The following is a 25,509-nucleotide window of genomic DNA, read 5'->3' on the forward strand; positions in this document are numbered from 1 at the left end:
TTCCTTTCTTCCTGTTTGGATGCCTTTTTTCTTTTCTTTTCTTTTTTTTTTTTTTTTTTTTTTTGAGACAGAGTCTTGCTCTCGCCAGGCTGGAGTGCAGTGGTGTGATCTCGGCTCACTGCAACCTCCGCCTCCCAGGTTGAAGCGATTCTCCTGCCTCAGCCTCCTGAGTAGCTGGGACTACAGGCACATGCCACCATGCCAAGCTAAGTTTTGTATTTTTAGGAGAGACGGGGTTTCACCATGTTGGCCAGGATGGTCTCGATCTCTTGACCTCGTGATCTGCTCACCTCAGCCTCCCAAAGTGCTGGGATTACAGGCGTGAGCCCCCATGCCCGGCAGATGCCTTTTATTTTCATCTCTTCTCTGATTGCTCTGGCCAGGATTTCCAATTTTATGTTGAATAGGATGTTTGAGAGAAGGCATCCTTATCTTGTGCCAGTTTTCAAGGAGGAATGCTTCCAGCTTGTGTCCATTCAGTGTGTTGGCTGTAAGTTTGTCGTTGATGTCTCATTGTTTTGAAGTATATACCTTCAATGCCTAGTTTGTTAAGGGTTTTAAACATGAAAAATGTTAAATTATATTGAAAGTATTTTTAGCATCTATTGAGATAATCTTGGTATTTGTTATTAGTTCTCTTTATGTGATGAATAACATTTATTGATTGTATATGGAACCAACTTGCCTCCCAGAGATGCAGCCTACTTGATTATAGTGGATTAGCTTTTTGATGTTCTTCTGAATTCAGTTTCCCAGTATTTTGTTGATGGTATTTTCATCAATGTTCATCAAGGATATTGGCTTGAAGTTTTCTTTTTTTTTTAATCTCTGCCAGGTTTTGATATCAGAATGATGCTATTCTTATATATAATGAGTTGAAAAGGAGTCCTTTCTTTTCAATATTTTGAAGTATTTTTAGTAGAAGTGGTACTAGCTCTTTTTTGTACATCTGGTAGAGTTCAGCTAGGAATTTGTCTGGTTCTTTGCTTTTTTTTGGCTAGTAGGCTATTTCTTACTAATTCAATTTTGGAGCTTGTTATTGGTCTATTCAGGGATTCAGTTTCTTATTTGTTCAGTCTCTGGAAAATGTGTCTTTGCTCCCAGGTTACTATTCTCAAGCTTGGCCCAAATAAACTCTTATATTCATGTTGCCTCAGCTTTTTCCTTTTAGGTAGTCATATCACGTAGAATGAGCTAGAGCAGCCTCTATGAGGGGATCTCTCCTTTGATTGTACTCCACTTGCTGTAACACCCAAGAATGCAGAGTGTGGTTGATCCTACCTAGAATCTGCACATAAGGTCTGGCCTCTTCCTGGGATTTACAGGACACGGCCAGACTTTAGGTTGAGAATGTACAGAAAACCAACAGGAGGCATTTTCTCCATTGTGAGTTGTCAACATAGACATCTTAAAGCCCCCTTTGACAGTGTGGTTCTTTAAGCTTTTCAGATCTTGTTCAGTGATTTGCCACAGTTATGTGAGAGGCTCCAGATATAAATAGAATCTGATGACAGAATCAGCATTTTAAGAGTGAGATATCAAAGTCATAATGTATCCATAGCCATGACCACAACTATACCTACCTGTAAAATGTGATACTGGAGTAGAGTATTCTTGTCTTTCTCCTTACCCAAAAGCTAGCAAATTGGGACAAGTGATTAGGTTCTGGAGCTCCACCAGGCCATTTTCTATTTAGAATCAGCCTGAATCTCTCCAGCCTGGATTATCATTGGGCCATCAGCCCAGGGTCACTAAGAACCCTCTCACAATCACCTAGACGTCTTTGAGACATTTGAGGATGTCCAGGGCAGAATTGTGTCAGGCTGACAAGAGTGGTTAATTCTGCTTCTGGCTTGGTGTAAGAGAAATGAGTCATTCTGTGTGTGTGTGGTTTTTTTAGGGTTTTTTTTCTTTTTTTAGACGGAGTATTGCTCTATCGCCCAGGCTGGAGTGCAGTGGCGCGATCTCGGCTCACTGCAACCTCCGCCTCCCGGGTTCAAGTGACTCTTCTGCCTCAGCCTCCCAAATAGCTGGGAATACAGGCACTTGCCACCATGCCTGGCTAATTTTTGCATTTTTAATAAAGACAGGGTTTCACCATATTGCACAGGCTGGTCTTGAACTCCTGACCTTGTGATCCGCCCACCTCAGCCTCCCAAAATGCTGGGATCACAGGTGTGAGCCACCATGCCTGGCAATTCTGTGTTTTTTTCTCCCCTTATACAAGAGATAACTTTGGTTGGTACCCAGATGAGAGTTTCTCAAGTTTCCTGATACTTGGATGAAAGCAATAGGAGGTCTGGTGACTCAAACAGATAAAGTAATTGTTTTCATTTTATATGGCCATTCAAAAAACAGATGAAGCAGTCATGATCCTTACTATCCAGGAACATGTCTAGACTAACAACTGGATACATGGGTGAATTAAGCATTATATGGTTGGTACAATGAATAGATGTGTCCAAAAAAAATTGGGGCCACTGTTTTATATTGTTACTTCTGATACCATCAGCTGAGGAGATATTTATGGAGTGAAGATTTGTTATTATTTGTGTTTCCTTTACTTTGCTAAGAATATATATTTATCTTCTAGTATAATTATTCTAAAGAACTTTAATAAATTTGTTTAAATTGCTTATTAGTATATGTTATAAAATTGACAGGGCAGTGGCAAAAATAGATTAAAGTTACATAAGCTCTGGGATTTAAGATTCTCTTATGTAAGCTTAGGAAAAACAGAACTGGAAATACCTTGGTGGCAGAGAGAACATAATTCTACATAGGGTCCTTTCCCTGCCCAAATTCTGTTCAGATTCACGTTTTTTGGAGGCCTTATTTATGTCTGGCCCCGCTCTGGAGCCTTACCTCACAAAACTGATTTATAAAAATCAGAGTTTTGGCTGGGTGTGGTGGCTCACACCTGTAATCCCAACACTTTGGGAGGCCGAGGCAGACAGATCATGAGGTCGAGAGTTTGAGACCAGCCTGACTAACATGGTGAAACCCCGTCTCTACTAAAAATACAAAAATTAGCCGGGCGTGGTGGCACATGCCTGTAATCCCAGCTGCTCAGGAGGCTGGGGCAGGAGAATCGCTTGAACCCGGGAGGCGGAGGTTGCATTGAGCCAAGATTGTGCCACTGCACTCCAGCCTGGTGACAGAGCGAGACTCCATCTAAAAAAAAAAAGACTGGAGTTTTGTCTGGTGAGTCCTGCTGCTTTTCTAGAGCTGGTGCTCACAATTTTCTGAAACCCAAAAACAGATAAATGACAGAAATAAACTATTTATTTTAGGATCTTATTTTTTGAATTTGTATTAAAACCAGTGCTTACAGAAACATTCCATTTAGCACCTTGTTTTCTGTTTCTGCCAATCTAGCAGTTGCTCCACAAGCCACAAACAAGTAAATGTATACACAATAAAAATTTCTCTAAACTACATTAAACTTTTTCTATGTTCTTCTCATCTGCCTGTATTTAACTTTTATTCTATACCTTTAAAACAAAATCAATGACAGAGAAACAGAGGGAGAAATAAAAATGCTGAACCCTTTATCTAAGTCCTGGGAATTATTGAACACTTAGTATCAACTTCCAGGGTGTTATTAGGATTAAATCACAAAATGTGTTATTCCCAGCACAGTGCTCTGTAACATATCCTTGAGCACATAGTACCTGCTTAATAAACATTGCATTTGTATATGTGTACATGTTATTTTCCAAAGGCAGATTTATTCAGACATTGCCGCCTTCTGTTTGTTCTGTAAACTTTAAAGAGCCAGCGAAGAATATAAAAATTTAAGATGGAGATTGGTTTTATTTGTACCAGAAGTATTTGTGTTGTGACAAGAGTGCTAAGTGTAAGGGACTCTGTGCTGTACCTGCTTCTCTAACTAATGCTAATGAGCCCAGGGGGAACAACATCAGCATTGACAGGGAACTTGTTTGAAACACGCATTCATGAACCCTTTTCAAACTTGCAGATCCACATTACGTAGAGTGGGGCCAAAATTACCAAACGAGTTTTAAGCTCATTAAAGTTTGAGAGGCAGTGCTTAGCTAAGTGGTTATCAGCCCCGTCTTGTTTTTTTTGTTTTGTTTTGTTTTCTGTTTTTGAGACAGGATCTCACTCTGTCACCCAGTCTGGAGTGCAATGGCATAATCTCGGCTCAGTGAAACCTCCGCCTCCTGGGTTCAAGCCATTCTTATGCCTCAGCCTCCTGAGTAGCTGGGATTACAGGCACCCGCCACCATTCCTGGCTAATTTTTTGTGTTTTTAGTAGAGATGAGGTTACACCATGTTGGCCAGGCTGATCTTGAACTCCTGACCTCAGGTCATCCATGTGCCTCGGCCTCCTAAAGTGCCAGGATTACAAGTGTGAGCCACCGCGCCCGGCCTCTGCCCAGTCTTCTAATTAGGATTACATGGCAGAAATCTCTGTACTTATGCCCTTTCCATGGATTTCGTTTATTGTTCTGGGTGGAAGCATCCATGTTGTTTTAATGAAGTGCCTCATGTGACTCTAAGGTGAGGCCAGAATCAAGTATGAGGGCTTCAATATACATTCATGAGAGCTAAGTGCCACCTTTGCACTAAAGGGTGGTCTCAGGGCCCGTTCTGTTTGGGTTTGGTAGGGACAGGGGAGTGTGGCTCATATTTCCATTACTGTAGCAGAAATTGCTGGTGTCTGTGGCAGAGGAGGGCACCTAAGGACAGGAAAAGAGAAACATACTTTTATATTCATAGAGCAGCTCGTTGTTCCTGAATCCTTTCTGTTATAAAGGACAGAGAAATGGGTGGACTTTTTCTGCAGGACCTTCCTTCTGTTTGTGTGCGTGATGGTAGCAGACAAAAAGGTGGTGCTGACATTTTTAAAGGAACGTTCTCAAAATGCAGGTATAACTTGTCCAGAGAATGTTATCTAAAAAGGATTTTCAGAGAAAGAAAGAGAAAAAATGGCTTTTTTTCAGCTAAACGTGTCTCAGAAGAAGAGCTGTGTGCACTCTGCTTCATGGAATGCCATGTGTTTAGTACTTGCAAATCTTTACTTCTCGATTTGTGTTTTTCCTTCTTAAGGAGTTTGTTTTAACTACATTAAAAAATTCTTATAATATTCAAGGCTGTCTGCAAAACATTTCTTTACTATATACCAGAGCTTTCTCTACATTCTCTACATCATGGCTTCTTATATGCCACGCAGAATTCCTACCATAAATTTATAATCGGCACTACTAAAAATGTTCCCTTTGTGGCTGTTAAACATGGGGAGATGTAGATACTCAAGATTCCTATTGGGGGAAAGCTGGGGTCCCTAGTAAAGATGGAGAATATGTAATGTTGAGGTTTCATCTGTTTTCTCTATTAACTCTATGCAGAACAGGATTAAGAAAATGCTTATTTAAACAGAATACCATTTATTACCCAGAAAGTTCTGAAAAAAATTATTAGGAGATACCTGCTCTCTAGGGTGCTAAAGAAAGACTACTTAAAATCACTGTTAAAAATAACAGAACATGGGAGATATCTGTATTTTGAACTTTGTATAAAACTGATGTATCTTTATGGTTGCATTCAGATTATAATTTACTGTTTGAGGGGCAATATCTTAGCAGTGATGCCGTGTTCTTCTATGTGCATCAGCACATCATAAAAATTTGTTGGCTGGGTGTGGTGGCTCACACCTGTAATCCCAGCACTTTGGGAGGGCGAGGTGGGCGGATCACCTGAGGTCAGGAGTTCGAGACCAGACTGACCAACATGGAGAAACCCCGTCTTTACTAAAAATACAAAATTAGCTGGGCATGGTGGTACATGCCTGTAATCCCAGCCACTTGGGAGGTTGAGGCAGGAGAATTGCTTGAACCCAGGAGGCGGAGGTTGCAGTGAGCCGAGATGGTGTCATTGCACTCCAGCCTGGGCAACAACAGCAAAACTCCATCTCAAAGAAAAAAAAAAGAAGAAAGAAATTTAGAAGTTCAGACTTTACTCCAGATCTTCTGAAGAAAAAAAGTCTGCACAACAGAATCTCCAGTTTATTGTTCACCTTTAAAGTTGAGAGGTACCTTCGAACTCAACATGTCTTTTTTGTCTGAAAAATATACACAACTCAAACTTTATGATGTAAATATAGCACTCGAAGTGTACAAATTTTTGTTTATGCCCTTAATTTTATGCTTCTCATCCAGAGAAGTATCATATATATACTGGTGTTATGGATCTTATGCCATTCTCTTCTCTCAGAGTTAGAGAAAACATTAGATAATATTTCTGTGTGAAAAATTATTGGGGCCGGGCATGGTGGCTCATGCCTGTAATCCCAGCATTTTGGGAGGCCAAGGCGGGTGGCTCACCTGAGGTTGAGAGTTCGTGACCAGCCTGACCAACATGGAGAAACCCCGTCTCTACTAAAAATACAAAATTAGCCGAATGTAGTGGTGCATGCCTGTAATCCCAGCTACTCAGGAGGCTGAGGCAGGAGAATCGCTTGACGCCGGGATGCAGAGGTTGCCTCTGTCTCAAAAAAAAAAAAAATTATTGGATAATTTCAGTCATTCCTGCAAATCAGAACCAATTCTCTTTATTCTGTCATTTCACTTTAATTCAAATAATAAATTCTGCCCGTGGCCACTTGGTAAATATACGTGTGTCTTGTGTGCTTGTGTTTTTCAGGGGCCATTGACATTTAGGGATGTGGCCATAGAATTTTCTCTGGAGGAGTGGCAATGCCTGGACACTGCTCAGCAGGATTTGTATAGAAAAGTGATGTTAGAGAACTACAGAAACCTGGTCTTCTTGGGTGAGAATAACTTTAGTACACAATTACTAGTATACCCTAAAGGTTTCATTTCTCATTTTTTGAGAATAATTTTTGGTAATTTATGCTTTGCATAAATGAGTTTCTGATACTTGTTCTTAAGAAAACCTTGAGGATTTTTCCATATAGGAAAGAATTTTTTCAAGAAGTTTTATCTTGACTTAAACTTTCCACATTCCTGGGCTGATCTGTATCCTTCACTCTAGATTAGTGGCAATTCCAGAAATTTAGTGGCATAAAATATTGTTGCCCATATCTTAAAATCTATTTGCCGCCACCAATTTTTGATTAATGAATGCCAGGCAGTGAAATTAAGAACCTACAAATGTAAAATATTTTCTAAATACTTAGAAATTTCTGTTATAAATTAGTATTTTTAGGATTAATTTTCTAGAATATTCTACCACATCCTCTTTACTAAGCACAGTACTAGGTTGGTAACTGAAGAATATGAGAAAGATTCATGTTATTTATTTTCAATAAAGCAGGTATTGCTGTTTCTAAGCCAGACCTGATCACCTGTCTAGAGCAAGGAAAAGAGCCCTGGAATATGAAGAGACATGCGATGGTAGATCAACCCCCAGGTAGGTGAGAGTGAACACAACAGACGACATGAATGAGAGGTCCAAAAAAGAAGAAAGCCAATGCTTAAAATGTTATTTGAGAATCTGTGTTCCAAAGCAAATATTTTCTGGGAAGCCTGAGTTTTTTTTTTTAATTTTGCCCTCGCATAGGGTCATCTTCTGTCTTATGCTTTTAAATTCAAGGATTCTTTCCCCTTGGTGATCTCCCTTCAAGTTTGCTATCAGAACCAAAGTCCTCTTCATGGCATGCGAGACTCACAATCTGACTGCTTTTCCATTGTTTTGGGGGACACACAAATATCTACATGATTTTGAGAAACTCTATGTTAAACTATTTTCTTTTCTTTTTTCTTTCTTTTTTTTTTTTTTTGAGACTGAGTTTCATGCTCGTTGCCCAGGCTAAAGTGCAATGGCACGATCTAGGCTCACTGCAACCTCTGCCTCCTGGATTCAAGCAATTCTCCTGCCTCAGCCTCCTGAGTAGGTGGAATTACAGGCACCTGCCACCATGCCCAGTTAATTTTTTGTATTTTTAGTAGAGACAGGGTTTCACCATGTTGGGCAGGCTGGTCTCAAACTCCTGACCTCAAGTGATCCACCCGCCTTGGCCTCCCAAAGTACTAGGATTACAGGTGTGAGCCACTGCACCTGGCCAAACTATTTTCTTAGTTCTCTTTTTGCATCATGTCTGAAATGTGTAATAGTAGTGGTTTCTGTTCCACTGTTTTTTGTTGTTGTTGTTAACTTTTCTGCACACTCCATTCTGTTCTTATTACTATATTCTCGAAATATAGTTTGAAATTATAAAGCATCATGTCTTTCTACTTTGTTCTTTTTCCTCACGATTGCTTTGGCTATTTGAAGTTTATTGTTGTTTCTTGTAAATTTTAGAATTGTATTTTCCATTACTGTGAAGAAAAATGCCACTGAAATTTTGATAGGGAATTTATTGAATCTATAGATTACTTAGATAATAGGACACTTTAACAATATTTATTTTTTCAATCTGTAGACATGCAATATTTTTAAATTTGTGTCTTCTCTAATTTCTTTTATTAATAACATATCTTTCGTTGTAAAGATTTTTTACTTCCTTGTTCTCAGAAATTTATCATTTTAATGCTATTTTAAATTGTTTTCTTTCTCTGTTAAAGTGTATGGAACAATAACTTCATACTTGTGTGTTAATTTTATGTTTTGCTAATTTACTGAGTGTATTAATTCAGACAAATTTCAATGTAGTGTTCATGGTTTTTTATATATAAAATCATATGATCCACAAACAGCAACTTTTTACTTGTGTTCAATTTCAGTGGCTTTTTAAAAATGTTTTTGACTCATTATTCTGCCACATACTTCCAGTGCTATGTTAAAATAGAAGCATTGACAATGGGCACAATGTAGTTTTGCATTAGTGTCTGTGAATTTGAAGGAGCAAACAACTCCTCAAGCTTCTATAAACTGGTTTCAGTAGGTAAAGATCTTTTTCTGTCATGTCTCCAGGGTCATAGAATGCTCTCTGGGTTTGTAGTGGAGAGGGGGTGTAGCTTGGTCACAAGGCTGCTGGGTCTGCACTAGGGTCCACCTTTAGTTGGCTTGTTACAGGGGCTTGGGTAGTGGTAATTCCCATTTTATTTTTGGACAGACTGAATATCCTTCAACACTTTGATCTGTAGAGCAGACAATAGGGCAGGTTTCTGCAGTCAGGTTCATATATAATGGTCCTTATATCAGGATGTGAATGAGTATGGCGTTTATTGAGTACCGGAGAGGATTACTGTAGTTATGCAGACAAATTCTTTTTTAATGGTATATCAGTGTTGCACAGCAGATTTTATGAGTAAATATGTCACTTACTATTACTGCGCAGTTTCATATCAGTGTTTTGTTAGTGTAGGTTTCTTAACATTGAGTTATTGTGTTTTTTTGTTTCACTTTTGTATTATAATTTTAGACAGTTTGCAATTCGGTTTATCTCTTATAATTAAGAGATAAATCAGCCATATGTCTGTCACAATTAGATATATATGTGTGTGTGTGTTTATCTATAAATATGACCCCAATATTGGTTATGGCTTATCTTGTATATATTCTTTCTTAGCCAATTTTCAGTGGTTGTTTTATCTCACCTAAGTGAGTAGTCATGGAAATATTTTCACCATCTCTTATTTTCACCATGTGTTTAATGATGATGTTTCTCTCACCTTTGTGTGAGAGAAACACTTTTGTAATTTGAAGGTAATTTTTGAAAAGATTTATAAATCTGTATTTTTTTCAGTTTTTCCTTTAGAAAAATTAATTGTTGTAAAAACACATAATATTTACCATCTTAAATCTATTTAGGTGTACCTTTTAGGGCCAGACATGGTGGTGGCTCACATCTGTAATCCAGGATTATTTGAGCTCAAAAGTTTGAGACCAACCTGGGAAACATATGGAGAGTCCCTCTCTACAAAATGTTTTTTAAAAATAGCCAGGCATAGTGTTGTGCATCTGTGGTTCAGGCTACTTGCAAGACTGAGGTGGGAGGGTTACTTGAGCCTCAGAGTTTGAGGCCGAAGTGAGCCATAATTGTACCACTGCACTCCAGCTTTTTGACAGAGTGAGACTGTGTCTCCAAAAAAAAAAAAAAAAACCACAGCTCTACATTTCAGGCAGGCATGTTAATTATATTCACATTGTTATGCAAAAGACTTAGATATTTTACATTTTGTGAAACTAAAACTCAATACCCATTAAATAACAGCAACCCATTTTACCCTCTTTCCAGCCCTTGACAAACACCCTTCCACTTTCTGTTTTTATGAGTGTGACTAATTAAAATATCCCATATCAGTGGAATCATACTGTATCCATCATTTCGTTACTGGCTTATTTCAGGTGACATAATATTCTCAAAGTTTATCTTAAAATGTGACAAGATTTTCTTTTTTTTTTTTTTTTTTATTTTTGAGACGGAGTCTCCTGTCACCCAGGCTGGAGTGCAATGACGCAATCTCGGCTCACTGCAACCTCTGCCTCCCTGGTTCAAGCGATTCTCCTGCCTCAGCCTCCCGAGTAGCTGGGACTACAGGCATGTGCCACCATGCCCAGCTAATTTTTTTCTTATTTTTAGTAGAGAGAGGGTTTAACCATGTTGGTCAGGCTGGTCTCAAACTCCTGACCTCAGGTGATCTGCCATCCTCGGCCTCCCAAAGTGCTGGGATTACAGGTGTGAGTCACACGCTTGGCAAGATTTTGTTTTTTAAGACTGAATAATATTTCGCTCTACACATATGTTACATTTTTGATATGCTTATAAATCAAGAGACACCTGGGTTGCTGCAGCCTTTTAGCTTTTGTGAATACTAGTACAATAAACATGGATGTTCAAATATGTCTTCCAGGTCATGTGTTGCATATTTTAAATTGATAAAGAGGATTGCTGTATTTGATGATAATTCCATTTTTAATTACTTGAGAAACATTTATAACATTTAAAAATAATGACTGCATCTTTGTTTTCTACCAACAATTGACATAGGTTTTATTTTCATTGCATCATCAACAGATTTGGTGTTTTTAAATAATTTATAGTGGCCATTGTAATGGGTATGACATGATTTCATTTTTCATTGTTATTTTTATGTGTTTCTCTACAAATTATTAATTTTGCATGTCATTTCAAATGCTTTTTCCATTTGTGTATCTTTTATGATAAAAATTTAGTTCAATTGTTAATTTTCAAATCAAGTTATTTAACTTAGTTTTAAGGGTTTTTTATATATTCTGAATATTAACTGTGACATGTAATTTGGAAATATTCTTACCCATTTTCTCGGAGGCATTTTCACTGAGTTAAATGTTTTGTTTTAATGTGCAGAAATTTTGAAGTATAGCATAGTTAATTTTTTGTTGTTGTTCCTCAGGCATTTAGTGTCTTATCTAAGAAAATGGTGCCAAGACCAATGTCATGTCTTCTTTCTATTTTTTTCTAAGAGACTTATTAGTTTTTTTATGTCTAAGTATTTTACTTAAAATATTTTTGTATATGATTCAAAGAAATGATCCAACCTTATTTTATCAGTATTGATATTTAGTTTTTAACATTGTTTTTTAAAAGACTATTGTTTCCTCTTGGCAGCTTTGTAGATCATTTGATTATATATAAAAGGTTTCATTTCTGGGCTCCATATTTTGTTCTTTCATCTGTTCATCTGCCTTTGTGTCAATATTACACTGTTTTTGTTACTGTAGCTTCTAATTTTTTATTATTATTTTTGAGATGGAGTCTGGCTCTGTCGCCCAGGCTGGAGTGCAGTGGCTCGATCTCAGCTCACTGCAACCTCCTCCTCCTGGGTTTCAGCGATTATTCTGCCTCAGTCCCCCAAGTAGCTGAGGTTACAGGCGTGCACTACCACGCCTGGCTAATTTTTGTATTTTTAGTAGAGACGGGGGTTTCACAATGTTGACCAGGCTGGTCTCAAACTCCTGAGCTCAGGTGATCCCCCACCCTGGCCTCACAAAGTGCTGGCATTACAGGCGTGAGCCACTGCACCCTGCCTAATATGTTTAAAAATCAGGAAGTATAATGCCTGTTTATTCTTTTTCATGGGTGTTTGGCTATAGTTCATAATGAAATTTAAAAATTTTAAACAATATTTGTGTAATAAAACTGTGCTATTGTCATTTTTATAGAGGTTATATTGAATTTGTTCACCACTGTAGGTTGTATTGACAACTTAACTAAATTAAACTTTTTGAACCTTTAGCTGAAGAGTGTGTTTGATTGACTGATTGATTCGAGACAGAGTCTCTCTCTGTCATCCAGGCTGGAGTGCAATGGCATGGTCTCGGCTCACTTCAACCTCCGCCTCCCGGGTTCAAGGAATTCTCCTGCCTCAGCCTCCTGAGTAGCTGGGATTACAGGTGCCCACCACCATGCCTGGCTAACTTTTGTATTTTTAGTAGAGACGGGGCTTCACATGTTGGCCAGGCTGGTCTCAAACTCCTGACCTCAAGTGATTCGCCCACACCAGCCTCCTGAAGTGCTGGGATTACGGGCATGAGCCACCATGCTTGGCCTTATTTTTATTTTATTTATTTTTATTTTTAGAGACAGGGTCTTCCTATGTTGCCCATGCTAGTTTGGAACTCCTGGACTCAAGCAATTTTCTTGCCTTGGCCTCTGAAAGTGCTAGTATTATAGCCGTGAGCCACTACACTCGGCCCATGTGTTTTTTTTTTTCAAATATATTATTGGATTTAACAGTTTTACTTTTGCTATTTATTTATTTATTTATTTATTTATTTATTTTACTGAGACAGAGTCTCACTCTGTTGCCCAGGCTGGGGTGCAATGGTGTGATCTTGGCTCACTGCAAACTCCGCCTCACAGGTTCAAGCAATACTCCCGCCTCAGCCTCCCAAGTAGCTGGGATTACAGGCACCCACCATTATGCCCGGCTAATTTTTGTATTTTTGTAGAGACAGGTTTTCACTATGTTGGCCAGGTTGGTCTTGAACTCCTAACCCCAGGTGATCCACCCACCTTGGCCTCCCAAAGTGCTGGCATTACAGGTGTGAGCCACCGCACCCGGCCTACTTTTGCTTTTAATTTTTAGTTTCATTCAGTTTTGGTCAGAAAACACACAGTGTATGATTTTGGTTTTCTTATATTTATTTGTTGTTGTTTTGAAACAGGATCATACTCCGTCACCCAGGCTGGAGTATAGTGGCATAATTTTGGCTCACTGCAACCTCAGTCTCCTTGACTCAGGTGATCTTTTCTTCCTCCTAAGTAGCTGAGACTACAGACATGCACTACCGTGCCTCGCTAATTTTTTGATTTTTTTGTAGTGACAGAGTCTCACTATATTATTCAGTCTGGTATCAAACTTCTGGTCCCAAGTGATCCTCCCACCTTCATCTTCCAAATTGTTGGGATTAGATGTATCAGCCACTACTCCCAGGTGGTATTCTTTAATAAGACTTGTTATGTGTCCTAACAGAATATATCACATCCAAATAAAAATATTGTGTATTCTCTTGCTTTTAACTGGAAAGTTTTGTACATGCTGTTAAGCCTATTTGGTCTGTGGTACAGTTTGGATGTCCATGTTCTGCAAGGCTCATGCTGCAATGTAATACACAATGTTGGATGTGGAACCTGGTAGGAGGTGTTTGGGTCATGGGGACTAATTCTCATAAATGCCATGGCACCATTCTTTTAGTAATCAGAAAGTTTTCACTACATTAATTCAAATGAGAGCTGGTTCATTAAAATAACCTGTCTCCTTCACCTCACACTTGCTCTGTCTCTTACCATGTGATATGTCCAGCTACTCTGCCTTCCACTAAGATTATAAGTTTCCTGAGACCCTCACCAGAAGCAGATACTGGCACACACTTCTTATACAGTCTGCCAAACTGTAAACCAAATAAACCTTTTTACTTTATAATTTATCCACTCTCAGTTATTTGTCTATATGCAAAATAGTTAATACAGTCTATAATGTTGTCTGTTTTCTTACTGATCTTTTATCTAAATTTTCTATTTATTATTGCAAATGGGATCTTGATGTCTACAATTATTGTGTTGCTGTATATTTCTTGCTTTACCTTTGCCAAAATATGCTTTATATATATTGGAGTCCTGATGTTATATATACATATACATATAAACATAAATAGATAGATATGATAGTTATAGATTCTTGACCCATTTGGCCATTATATAATATCAGTGTTTGTCTCATGTTAGTACTTGACTTAAAGCATATTATATTCAATATAATTACTGCCACCTCACCCAATTATGGTTACTATTTGCATGTAATATAGATTCTTTTCATTCTATTACTTTCAGCCTATTTGACTCAATGCTAAAATGAGTCTGTTATAGACAGCGTATTGTATGCTTTTTTACTTAAACTACTCAGGCATCTTATTTCTTTTTCTTTTTATAAATTTATCTATTTTTGAGATAGAGTCTCATTCTGTCAACCAAGCTGGTTTGCAGTGGCATGATTACAGCTCGCTGCAGCCTCAACCTCCCAAACTCAGATGATCTCATCTCAGCTTCCAAGTAGCTGGGCTGCAAATGTGTGTCGTCACGCCCAGCTCATTTTATTGTTTTTGTTTTTGTTTTTGTAGGGACAGAATTTTGCCATGTTCTCCAGTCTGGTCTCAGACTCCTGAGTTAAAGTAATCAGCCCCTCTGGGCCTCCCAAAGTCCTGAGATTACTTTTTTTTATTAAGTAGTTTAATTAATTTATATTTAAAATGATTGCTTAAAGAAATAAAGTTACTATTACCAGTTTCATTGTTATTGTTTTGTTTAAATATTATTTTTTGTGTGTTCTGGGATACATGTACAGGATTTACAAGTTTGTTACATAGGTAAACATGTCCCATGGTGGTTTACTGCACCTATCAATTCATCACTTAGGTGTGAAGCCCTGCATGCATTAGCTGTTTATCTTGATGCTGTTTCCCCTACTCTGACAGGTTCCAGTGTGTGTTGTTCCCCTCTATGTGTCCATGTTTGTTTTTGTTTTTGTTGTTGTTGAGACAGAGTCTTGCTCTGTCGCCAGGCTGGAGTGCTGTGGCATGATCTCAGCTCACTGCAAACTCTGATACCCTGGTTCAAGCGATTCTCCTGCCTCAGCCTCCCAAGTAGCTGGGATTACAGGCATGCACCACCATTCTCAGCTAATTTTTGAATTTTTAGTAGAGATGGGGTTTCGCCACACTGGCCAGGATGGTCTTGATCTCCTGACCTCGTGATCTGCCCACCTCAGCCTCCCAAAGTGCTGAAATTGCAGGCATGAGCCACCGTGCCCAGCCCATGTGTTCTTATTGTTCGGCTCTCACTTACGAGTGAGAACATGTGGTGTTTGGTTTTGTGTTCCTGCATTAGTTTGCTGAGGATAATGGCTTTCAGCTTTATCCATGCCTTTGCAAACTACATGCTCTTATTCTTTTTTATGGTTGCATAGTATTCCATAGTGTATATGTACCACATTTTCTTTATCCAGTCTATTATTGATGGGCATGTGGGTTGATTCCATGTCTTTGCTATTGTAAATAGTGCTGCAATGAACATACACATCCACATATCTTTATAACAGAATTATTTATATTCCTTTGGGTATATACCCAGTAATGGGGTTGCTGGGTCAAATGGTATTTCTGTTTCTAGGTCCTTGAGGAATTCCCATAGTGTCTTCCACAATGATTGAACTAATTTACATTCTCACCGACAGTGTAAAAGTATTTCTATTTCTCCACAGCCTCATCAGCATCTGTTGTTTCTTGACTTTTTAATAATCACGATTCTTGGCCGGGCACGGTGGCTCACACCTGTAATCCCAGCACTTTGGGGGTGCCGAGGCAGGAGGATCACAAGGTCAGGAAATTGACACCATCCTGGCTAACACGGTGAAACCCCGTCCCTGCTAAAAATATAAAAAATTAGCTGGGCGTGGTGGCGGACGCCTGTGGTCCCCGCTACTTGGGAGGCTGAGGTAGGAGAATGGCGTGAACCTGGGAGGCAGAGCTTGCAGTGAGCCGAGATCGCGCCACTGCACTCTAGCCTGGGCAAAGAGTGAGACTCCATCTAAAAAAAAAAAAAAATTTAGAAAAAAATAACCACTATTCTTACTGGCATAAGATGGTATGTAATTCTGGTTTTGATTTGCATTTCTCTAACGATCCCTGATGTTGAGCTTTGTTTGTTTCTTGGCCACATAAATTTATTCTTTTGAGAAGTGTCCATGTTCTTTGCCCACTTTTTAATGGGGTTGTTTTATTCTTGTAAATTTGCTTAAGTTCCTTTTAGACTCTGGATATTAACGTTTGTCAGATGAATAGGTTGCAAAAATGTTCTCCGATTCTTAGGTTGTCTGTTCACTCTGATGATAGTTTTTTTGTTGTTGTGCGGAAGGTTTTTAGTTTAATTAGATTCTATTTGTCAAGTTTTGCTTTTGTTGCAGTTGCTTTTGACGTTTTCATGATGAAATCTTTGTCCATGCCTATGTCCTGAATGGTATTGCCTAGATTTTCTTCTAACGTTTTTATAGTTTTTGGTTTCATATTTAAGTCTTTAATCCATCTTGAGTTAACTTTTGTACAGGTGTAAGGAAGGGTTCCAGTTTCAGTTTTCTGCATAGGGCTAGCCAATTCTCCCAGCACCATTCATTAAATAGGGAGTTTGTTCCTCATTGCTTGTTTTTGTCAGATTTTTCAAAGATCAGATGGTTGTAGATAAGCAGTCTTATTTCTGAGTTCTGCATTCTTTTTCATTGGTCTATGTGTATGTTTTTATACCAGTACCAGGATGTTTTGGTTACTATAGCCTTGTGGTGTAGTTTGAAGTCAGATAGCATGATGCTTCCAGCTTTGTTCTTTTTGCTTAGAATTTTCTTGGCTATATGGGGTCTTTTGGGTTCCATATGAATTTTAAAATAGTTTTTTCTAATTCTGTGAAAGATGTCAGTAATAGTTTAGTGGGATAAGCATTGAATTACTTTTGGCAGTATGGCCGTTTTTACAATATTGATTATTTCTATCTTTTCCATTTGTTTGTGTCCTCTCTGATTTTCTTGAGCAGTGGTTTGTGTTTTCCTTAAAGAGGTCCTTCACTTACTTTGTTAGCTGTATTCCTAGGTATTTTATTCTTTTTGTAGCAATTGTGGATGGAGGTTCGTTCATGATATGGCTCTCTGCTTGTTTACTGTTAATGTATTGAAATGCTTGTAATTTTTGCACATTGATTTTGTATCCTGAGACTTTGCTGAAGCTTCTTATTAGCTGAAGAAGCTTTTGGGCTGACATTGGGGCATTCTAGATATGGGATCATGTCATCTGCAAACACAGACAGTTTGACTTCCTATTTGAATACCCCTTATTTATTTTTCTTGCCTGATTTTCCTGGCCAGAACTTCCAATACTACGTTGAATAAGAGTGGTGAGAGAGGGCCTTCTTGTTGTGCCAGTTTTCAAGGGGAATGCTTCCAGCTTTTGCCCTTTCGGTATGATACTGGCTGTGGGTTCATCATAAATGACTCTTATTATTTTGAGGTATGTTCCATAAATACCTAGTTTATTGAGCATTTTTAACATGAAGGTATGTTGAATTTAATCAAAGACCTTTTCTGCATCTATTGAGATAATCATATGGATTTTGTTTTTAGTTCTGTTTATATGATGAATTGTATTTATTGATTTGTTTATGTTGAAATAGCCTTGCATCCCAGGGATGAAGCTGACTTGATCGCGGTGGATAAGCTTTTCGATGTGCTGCTGGATTTGGTTTGCCAGTGTTTTATTGAGAATTTTTGCATCAATGTTTATCAGGGATATTGGCTTGAAGTTTCTTGTTGTTGTTATATCTTTGCCAGATCTTGGTATCAGAATGATGCTGATCTTATAAAATGAGTTAGAGTGGAGTCCCTCTTTTTCTATCATTTGGAATAGTTTCAGAAGAAATGGTACCAACTCCTCTTTGTACCTCTGGTAGAATTCAGCTGTAAATCCATCTGCCTCTGGGCATTTTTAGTTTGTAGGCTATTTATTACTTCCTCAATTCCAGAACTTCTTATTGGTCTATTCAGGATTCAAATTTTTCCTGGTTTGGTCTTGGGAGGGTGTTTGTGTCCAGTAATTTATCTACTTCTTCTAGCTTTTTCAGTTTATGTGCATACAGGTGTTTATAGTATTTTCTGATGGTTTGTATTTCTGTGGGGTCAGTGGTGATATCCTCTTTATGATTTTGTATTGTGTCTATTTCTTCTTCTCTCTTTTGTTCTCCATTACTCTAGTTAGTGTTCTATTTTATTAATGTTTTCAAAAAAAATAGCTCCTGGATTTATTGGTTTTTTGAAGGGTTTTTTGTGTCTCTATCTCTTTCAGTTTCACTTGGATTCTTCTTATGTCTTGTCTTCTGTTAGCTTTGGGGTTTGTTTGCTCTTGATTCTCTTGTTCTTTTAATTGTAATGTTAGGGTGTCATTTTGAGATCTTTCCAGCTTTTTGCTGTGGCTATGTAGTGCTATAAATTTTCCCCTTAACACTGCTTTAGCTGCATTCTACAGATTCTAGTACATAGTCTCTTTGTTCTCATTGGTTTCAAAGAATTTCTTGGTTTCTGATTTAATTTTATTATTTACCCAGAAGTCATTCAGGAGCAGGTTGTTCAATTTCCATGTACTTGTGTGGTTTTGAGTGAGTTTCTTACTCTTGAGTTCCAATTTGATTGCACTGTGGTCTGAGAGACTGTTATGATTTCAGTTCTTTTGCATTTGCTAAGGAGTATTCCTTCCAATTATGTGATCAATTTTAAAGTAAGTGCCATGTGACACTTAGGAGAATGTGTATTGTGTTGTTTTTGGCTGGAGAGTTCTGTAGATATCTATCAGGTCCATTTGACCCAAAGCTGAGTTCAAGTCCTGAATATCTTTGTTACTTTTCTGTCTCAATTGTTGGTCTAATATTGGCAGTAGGGTGTTAAAGTCTCCCACTATTATTGTGTGGGAGTTTGTTTAAGTCCCTTTGTAGGTCTCTAATAATGTGTTTTATAAATCTGGGTCCTCCTTGAATTGATTCCTTTAGCATTATGTAATGCCCTTCTTTTTCTGTTTTGATCTTTGTTGGTTTAAAGTCTATTTTGTCAGAAACTACAATTGCAACTCCTCCTTTTTTCTTCTTTTATTTGCTTGGTGAATTTTCCTCCATTCCTTCATTTTAAGCATGTGTGTGTCTTTGCATGTGAGATGGGTTTCTTGAATATGGCACACCAATGGGTCTTGACTCTTTAATCAGCTTGACATTCTGTGTCTTTTAATGAGGGCATTTAGCCCATTTAAATTTAAGATTAGGCCAGCCACGGTGGCTTATGCCTGTAATCCCAGCACTTTGGGAGGCTGAGGCAGGTGAATCACCTGAGGTCAGGAGTTCATGACCAGCCTGGCCAACATGGTGAAACCCCGCCTCTACTAAAAATATAAAAATTAGCCTGTCATGGTAGTGCTCATCTGTAATCCCAGCTGCTCAGGAAGCTGAGGCAGAATTGCTTGAACCTGGGAGGCAGATGTTGCAGTTAGTCAAGATTGTGCACTGCACTCCAGCCTGGGTGACAGAACAAGACTCCATCTCAAAAAAAAAAAAAAAAAAAGTTTAAGGTTAATATTGCTATGTGTGAATTTGATTATGTTTTCATGGTGCTATCTGGTTATTTTGAAGACTCTTTGATGTAGTTTTTTCATAGTGTCATTGGTCTTTGTACTTCAGTGTGTTTTTGTAGTGGCTAGTAATGGTTTTTTTCTTTCCATGTTTAGTGCTTCTTTCAGGAGCTCTTGCAAGGCAGGCCTGGTGGTGATGAATTCCTTCAGCGTTTACTTGTCTGAAAATGATTTTATTCCTCCTTTACTTATGAAGCTTAGTTTTCCTGGATATTCTTGGTTGGAAATTCTTTTCTTTAAGAATGTTGAGTAGTGGCCCCCAATCTCTTACGGCTTGTAGGGTTTCTGCTTAAAGGTCTGTTGTCAGTCTGATGAACTTTTGTCTATAGGTGATGTGGCGTTTCTCTCTGGCTGCCTTATCATTTATTCCTGAATTTCAATCTTGAAGAATCTGATTATTATGTGTCTTGGGGATGATCTTCTCATGGAGTATCTTACTGGGGTTTTCTGGATTTTCTGAATTTGAATGTTGGCCTTTCTTGTTAGGTTGGAAAAGTTCTTCTGGATGATATCCTGAAGGATGTTTTCTAACTTGGTTCCATTCTCCCTATCTATTTAAGGTACCCCAGTCAGTCATAGGTTCGGTCTTTTTACATAATCTCATAGACCTCAGAGATTTCTCTCATTCCCGTTTATTCTTTTTTCTTCAATCTTGTCTGCCTGTTTTATTTCAGCAAGATTGTCTTCAAGCTCTGAAGTTCTTTCCTTGCTTCGTCTACTCAGTTATTGATACTTGTGGTTGCGTTGTGAAGTTCTGATGCTGTGTTTTTCAGTTCCATCAGGTCATTTATGTTCCTCTCTAAATTGGTTGTTTTGGTTAACAGCTCCTGTAATGTTTTTCATGGTTCTTAGCTTCTTTGCATTGGGTTAGAACATACTCCATTAGCTCAGCAAAGTTCATCATTACCCACCTTCTGAAGCCTACTTTTGTCAATTTATCCACCTTAGCCACCGCCCAGTTCTGTGCCCTTCCTGGAGATATGCTGGGATCATTTGGAGGAAAGGAGGCACTCTGGCTTTTTAAGTTTTCAGCATTTTTTGGTTTATTCTTTTCATCTTTGTGAGTTTTTCTAGCTTCGATCTTTGAGGCTGCTGACCTTTGGATGGGATGCTTGTGAGGATTTTTTTGTTCATGCTGTTTTTGTTGTTGCTTTCTGTTTGTTTTTCTAACCATCAGGCCACTTTTCTGTAGCACTGTTGTGATTTGCTTGGGATCTACTTCAGACCCTATTTGCCTGGGTTTCTCTCACACCTGGAGGTGTCAACCAGTGGAGCCTGCAGAATAGCAGAGAGGACTGCTTGCTCCTTCCTCTGGGGTCTTTGTCCCAGAAGGGGAATGATCTGATGACAGTGGGAACACTACTTTATAAGTTGTCTGACGATGTCTGTTGTGGGGGTCTCACCCAGTCAGGATGCATGAGATCTGGGAACCACTTAAGAAAGCACTCTGGCTGCACCTTGGTGGAGTGGCTGTGCTGCACTGAGGGAAATTCCATACATCTGTACTGCCTGGATTGCTCAGAGCCAGCAGGGGGAAAGACTAAGTCTGCTGATCTGCAGAAACCACCTCATTGTTCCTGTTTTATGTATTTCTTGTAGATAAGTTTTTTCTCATTTCCTGTTTTACTACCTTTATTTTTGTTAACTTTATCGTTACATGCTTTGATTATTTTTTCATTTTTTGCATACTTTTTATAAATATTATGTAATCACCTTGAAGTATAATGTAATCATCTTAAAATGGAGATTACATAAAACATCTTTTTTTTTTTTTTTTTTTTTTTTTTTTTTTTAGTATTTATTGATCATTCCTGGGTGTTTCTCGCAGAGGGGGATTTGGCAGGGTCATAGGACAATAGTGGAGGGAAGGTAAGCAGATAAACAAGTGAACAAGGGTCTCTGGTTTTCCTAGGCAGAGGACCCTGCGGCCTTCCGCAGTGTTTGTGTCCCTGGGTACTTGAGATTAGGGAGTGGTGATGACTCTTAACGAGCATGCTGCCTTCAAGCATCTGTTTAACAAAGCACATCTTGCACCGCCCTTAATCCATTTAACCCTGAGTGGACACAGTACATGTTTTAGAGAGCATGGGGTTGGGGGTAAGGTTATAGATTAACAGCATCCCAAGGCAGAAGAATTTTTCTTAGTACAGAACAAAATGGAGTCTCCTATGTCTACTTCTTTCTACACAGACACAGCAACAATCTGATTTCTCTATCTTTTCCCCACATTCCCCCCTTTTCTATTCGACAAAACCGCCATCGTCATCATGGCCCGTTCTCAATGAGCTGTTGGGTACACCTCCCAGACGGGGTGGCGGCTGGGCAGAGGGGCTCCTCACTTCCCAGAAGGGGCGGCCGGGCAGAGGCGCCCCCCACCTCCCGGACGGGGCGGCTGGCCGGGCGGGTGCTGGCCCCAACCTCCCTCCTGGACGGGGTGGCTGGCCGGGCAGGGGCTGCCCCCCACCTCCCTCCCAGATGGGGCATAAAATATCTTAAAGTTAAAAAAATAAGGCCAAGCATGGTGGCTCACACCTGTAATCCCAACACTTTGGGAGGCTGAGATGGATAGATCACCTGAGGTCAGGAGTTTGAGACCAGCCTGGCCAACATGGTGAAACTGTCTCTACTAAAAATACAAAAATTAGGTATGTGGTGGAGGACATCTGAGACTGAGGCAGGATAATCACTTGAACCCAGATGACAGAGGTTGCAGTGAGCCGAGATTGCGCCACTGCACTCCAGCCTGGGTGACAGAGCAAGACTCCATCTCAAAAAAAAAAAAAAAAAAAAAAAAGTAAAAAAGATATATTTTAACTTCTTAAACTTTAATTAAATACAAAACCTATACTGCTATGTTTTCCAGTTTGTTATTGATACTACAAATTATATTATGTATCTATTAACAGATTTATATCTTGTATTTTTATATCTACAGAACTTTAACGGTTTTATGCACCATTATGATAGTAAAAAATTCTATATGTATCTGTATATTTATATTTAATAGGGAGCTTTATATATGGTTTTATGATGCTGTCTAGCATCATTTTATTTTTCAACAAAATGGATTCATTTTAGCATTTCTATTTGTTTATATGCAGAGTCTGTGTTTCTCAGACTGGATCTTGGACTCCTGGTCTCAAGAGATCTGACTGCCTTGGCTTCCTAAAGCTGTAGAATTACAGGCATGAGCCACTATGTCTGGCCACCATGTAACATTTCTTGTTACATTTCGTGCAACATTTCTTGTTACGTTTCCTGCAACATTTCTTGTTACATTTCGTGCAACATTTCTTGTTACATTTCGTGTAACATTTCTTGTTACATTTCGTGTAACATTTCTTATAGTGAACACCCTGAAATTTAATTTAGGAAAGTCTGTATTTTTATTTTGTTTTTCAAGTAAAATAACTTTGAATTAAATATTATTGGTTAGAATTTTTTATTACATCAAAATTTGGGAAGTTCTCAGCTTTCGTTTTCTTTAATTTACCTCTGTATTACTTTTTCCCTACATTATTCTTCTCTTTTTTTTTTTTGAGACAGAGTCTCTCTCTGTCACCCAGGCTGGAGTGCGGTGGCTCGATCTCAGCCTCAGCCTCCCGAGTAGCTGGGACCACAGGCGCCCACCACCACACCTGGCTAATTTTTTGTATTTTTTCAGTAGAGGCAGGGTTTCACCGTCTTAGCCAGGACGGTCTCGATCTCCTGACTGTGTGATCCGCCTGCCTCGGCCTCCCAAAGTGCTGGGATTACAGGCATGAGCCACTGTGCCCAGCCCCCCTATATTCTTCTAAGATTTATTTCATGAATATATTGATGGACTTGATGGTGTCCAATAAGTTTTACATTCCATATTTTTCTTTTGTTTTGCAATTTTATATTTTTATGTTATATATTTTAGGGTATGCCACCTCATACCAATTAACTGTGTTTTGATGTTTTAGTTTATATTGTAATTGTGTATGACAATGTTTAACTCTGTACAATTTAAGGCAGTTTGGAGCAAAATCAAATATAAATCAGCCATATGTCTATTGCCAATATAATTATCTCTTTTTCCCTGTATAAATATTCTCTCTGTATTTTTTATGACTTGTATATTTGTTATGTAGGTTTGTTGTGAGTGGTTGTTCAATCTTGTCTAGGTGAGCAGTCATCTCCTAATTTCAATATCTATTGTGAATCTATATTATTTTTGTGTGGAAGAAACACTCTTGGATTTGAAGATTATATACAAACTATCATAACTTTGTGTCTTTTTTAGGTATTATTGTTTATTTTTACTTGTCAGAACCACATAACAAAATTTATTATCAAACATTTTAAAATATGCTGTTTAGGCCAGGTGCAGTGGCTCATGCCTGTAATCCCAGCTCTTTGGGAGGACAAGGTGGGAGGATTGCCCGAGGTCAGGAGTTCAAGACCAGTCTGGCTATCTTGGTGAAACCCTGTCTCTACTAAAAATACAAAAACTACCCGGGTGTGGTGGCGAGTGCCTGTAGTCCTAGCTACTCGGGAGGCTGAGGCAGGAGAATCACTTGAACCCGGGAGGTAGAGGTTGCAGTGAGCTGAGATCATGCCACCTCACTCCAGCCTGGGCAACAGAGCAAGATTCCGTCTGAAAAAAATAAAATATGCTGTTTAGTCATATTAATTATATGACAATGTTATGCAACATATCCCTATAATATTTATATGTTGCAAAGCTAAATCTCAATACACATTAAACAAGAACCAATTTTTCTGACTTTCTGGCACTTTGCAAGCACCACTCTGTTTTCTCTTTCTAAGAGTGTAACTGTTTCATGTATCTTCTACAGTCTCTTTTTGTGGCTGGCTCATTTCATTTTGCATAATATCATCAAGCTTTATCTTTATAATTGTTAGAATATTTTTGGCTTTTTAAGTCCTAGGTGATATTCCAGTATTTTTATATTTTAAATTATATCTACTGAATAATTTGGTGACAGAAATTTGCATTCCTTTTACCTACTGGCTTTCAGTAGCAATGCTGCAATAATTATGGATATGCAAATAACTTCATATGGCCATATATGTGAACATTTATATATGTGCTAACTTCTATTTTATTAGTTCACTTTGTTTTGAGACAGTCTCACTTTGTCACCCGGGCTGGAGTGCAGTGGTGCGATCTCGGCGCACTGCAACCTCCACCTCCCGGGTTCAAGTGATTCTCCTGCCTCAGCCTCTTGAGCAGCTGGGACTACAGGCTCGTACCACCAAGCCCAGCTAATTTGTTTATTTTTAGTAGAGATGGGGTTTTATGTTGGCCTGGATGGTCTCGATCTCTTGACCTCATGATCCGCCCACCTTGGCCCCCCAAAGTGCTGGAATTATAGGCGTGAGCCACTGCACCCAGCCTATTAGTCCACTTTTTAGCCATTATACTCATACCAAATTGTTTTTATTCTGTAACTTTGTAATGTATTTTGAAATCAGGAACTATAATGACTTCAACATTGTTCCTTTTTTTGAATACTTTGGGTACTTTATTGTCTTTTGAGAGTCCATATGCTACTTTTGGAGTTGCTGTTTCTGTTTCCTCAAAAATGCAATGAGAAATTAAAAAAAAAATTGCATTAAATCTCTGTATTACATTGAGCAGTATGGACGTCTTCAAAATATTAATTATTTCAACCTTTGAACAGGAGCATGCTGGAGAATGTGTTTAATATCTATATAGTTATAAATTTTTCAGTTTTTGTCTGTTTTATACTCATTTCATTTTGGTCATAGAATGTAATTCATAAATTGTTTTTAAAAACTTAAAAATTAAAAAAATTTGTTAAGACTTCTTTTTTTGCCTACCAGGTGGTCTATCAAGGAGAATGTTGTATGAGCTACTGAGAAGGGCATGCATCCTGATAT

At 38.5% G+C, this 25,509-nt stretch overlaps 1 protein-coding gene across 4 annotated transcripts in view; it reads left to right on the forward strand.

The window, feature by feature from the left end:
• ZNF430 (zinc finger protein 430) overlaps nt 1–25,509 on the forward strand; it is a 39,394-nt gene that overhangs the window by 6,130 nt on the left and 7,755 nt on the right. For 2 of the 4 annotated variants that reach the window (NM_025189.4, XM_047439464.1), the window contains 2 exons: nt 6,670–6,796; nt 7,300–7,398. In NM_025189.4, the coding sequence (NP_079465.3) occupies nt 6,670–6,796; nt 7,300–7,398 (226 nt within the window). The remainder of the gene's footprint in view (nt 1–6,669; nt 6,797–7,299; nt 7,399–25,509) is intronic. The other 2 variants (NM_001172671.2, XM_047439465.1) reach the window with 1 other exon arrangement.

Source organism: Homo sapiens, chromosome 19 (genome assembly GCF_000001405.40).
Source record: "Homo sapiens chromosome 19, GRCh38.p14 Primary Assembly".
Taxonomy (NCBI): Eukaryota; Metazoa; Chordata; class Mammalia; order Primates; family Hominidae; genus Homo; species Homo sapiens.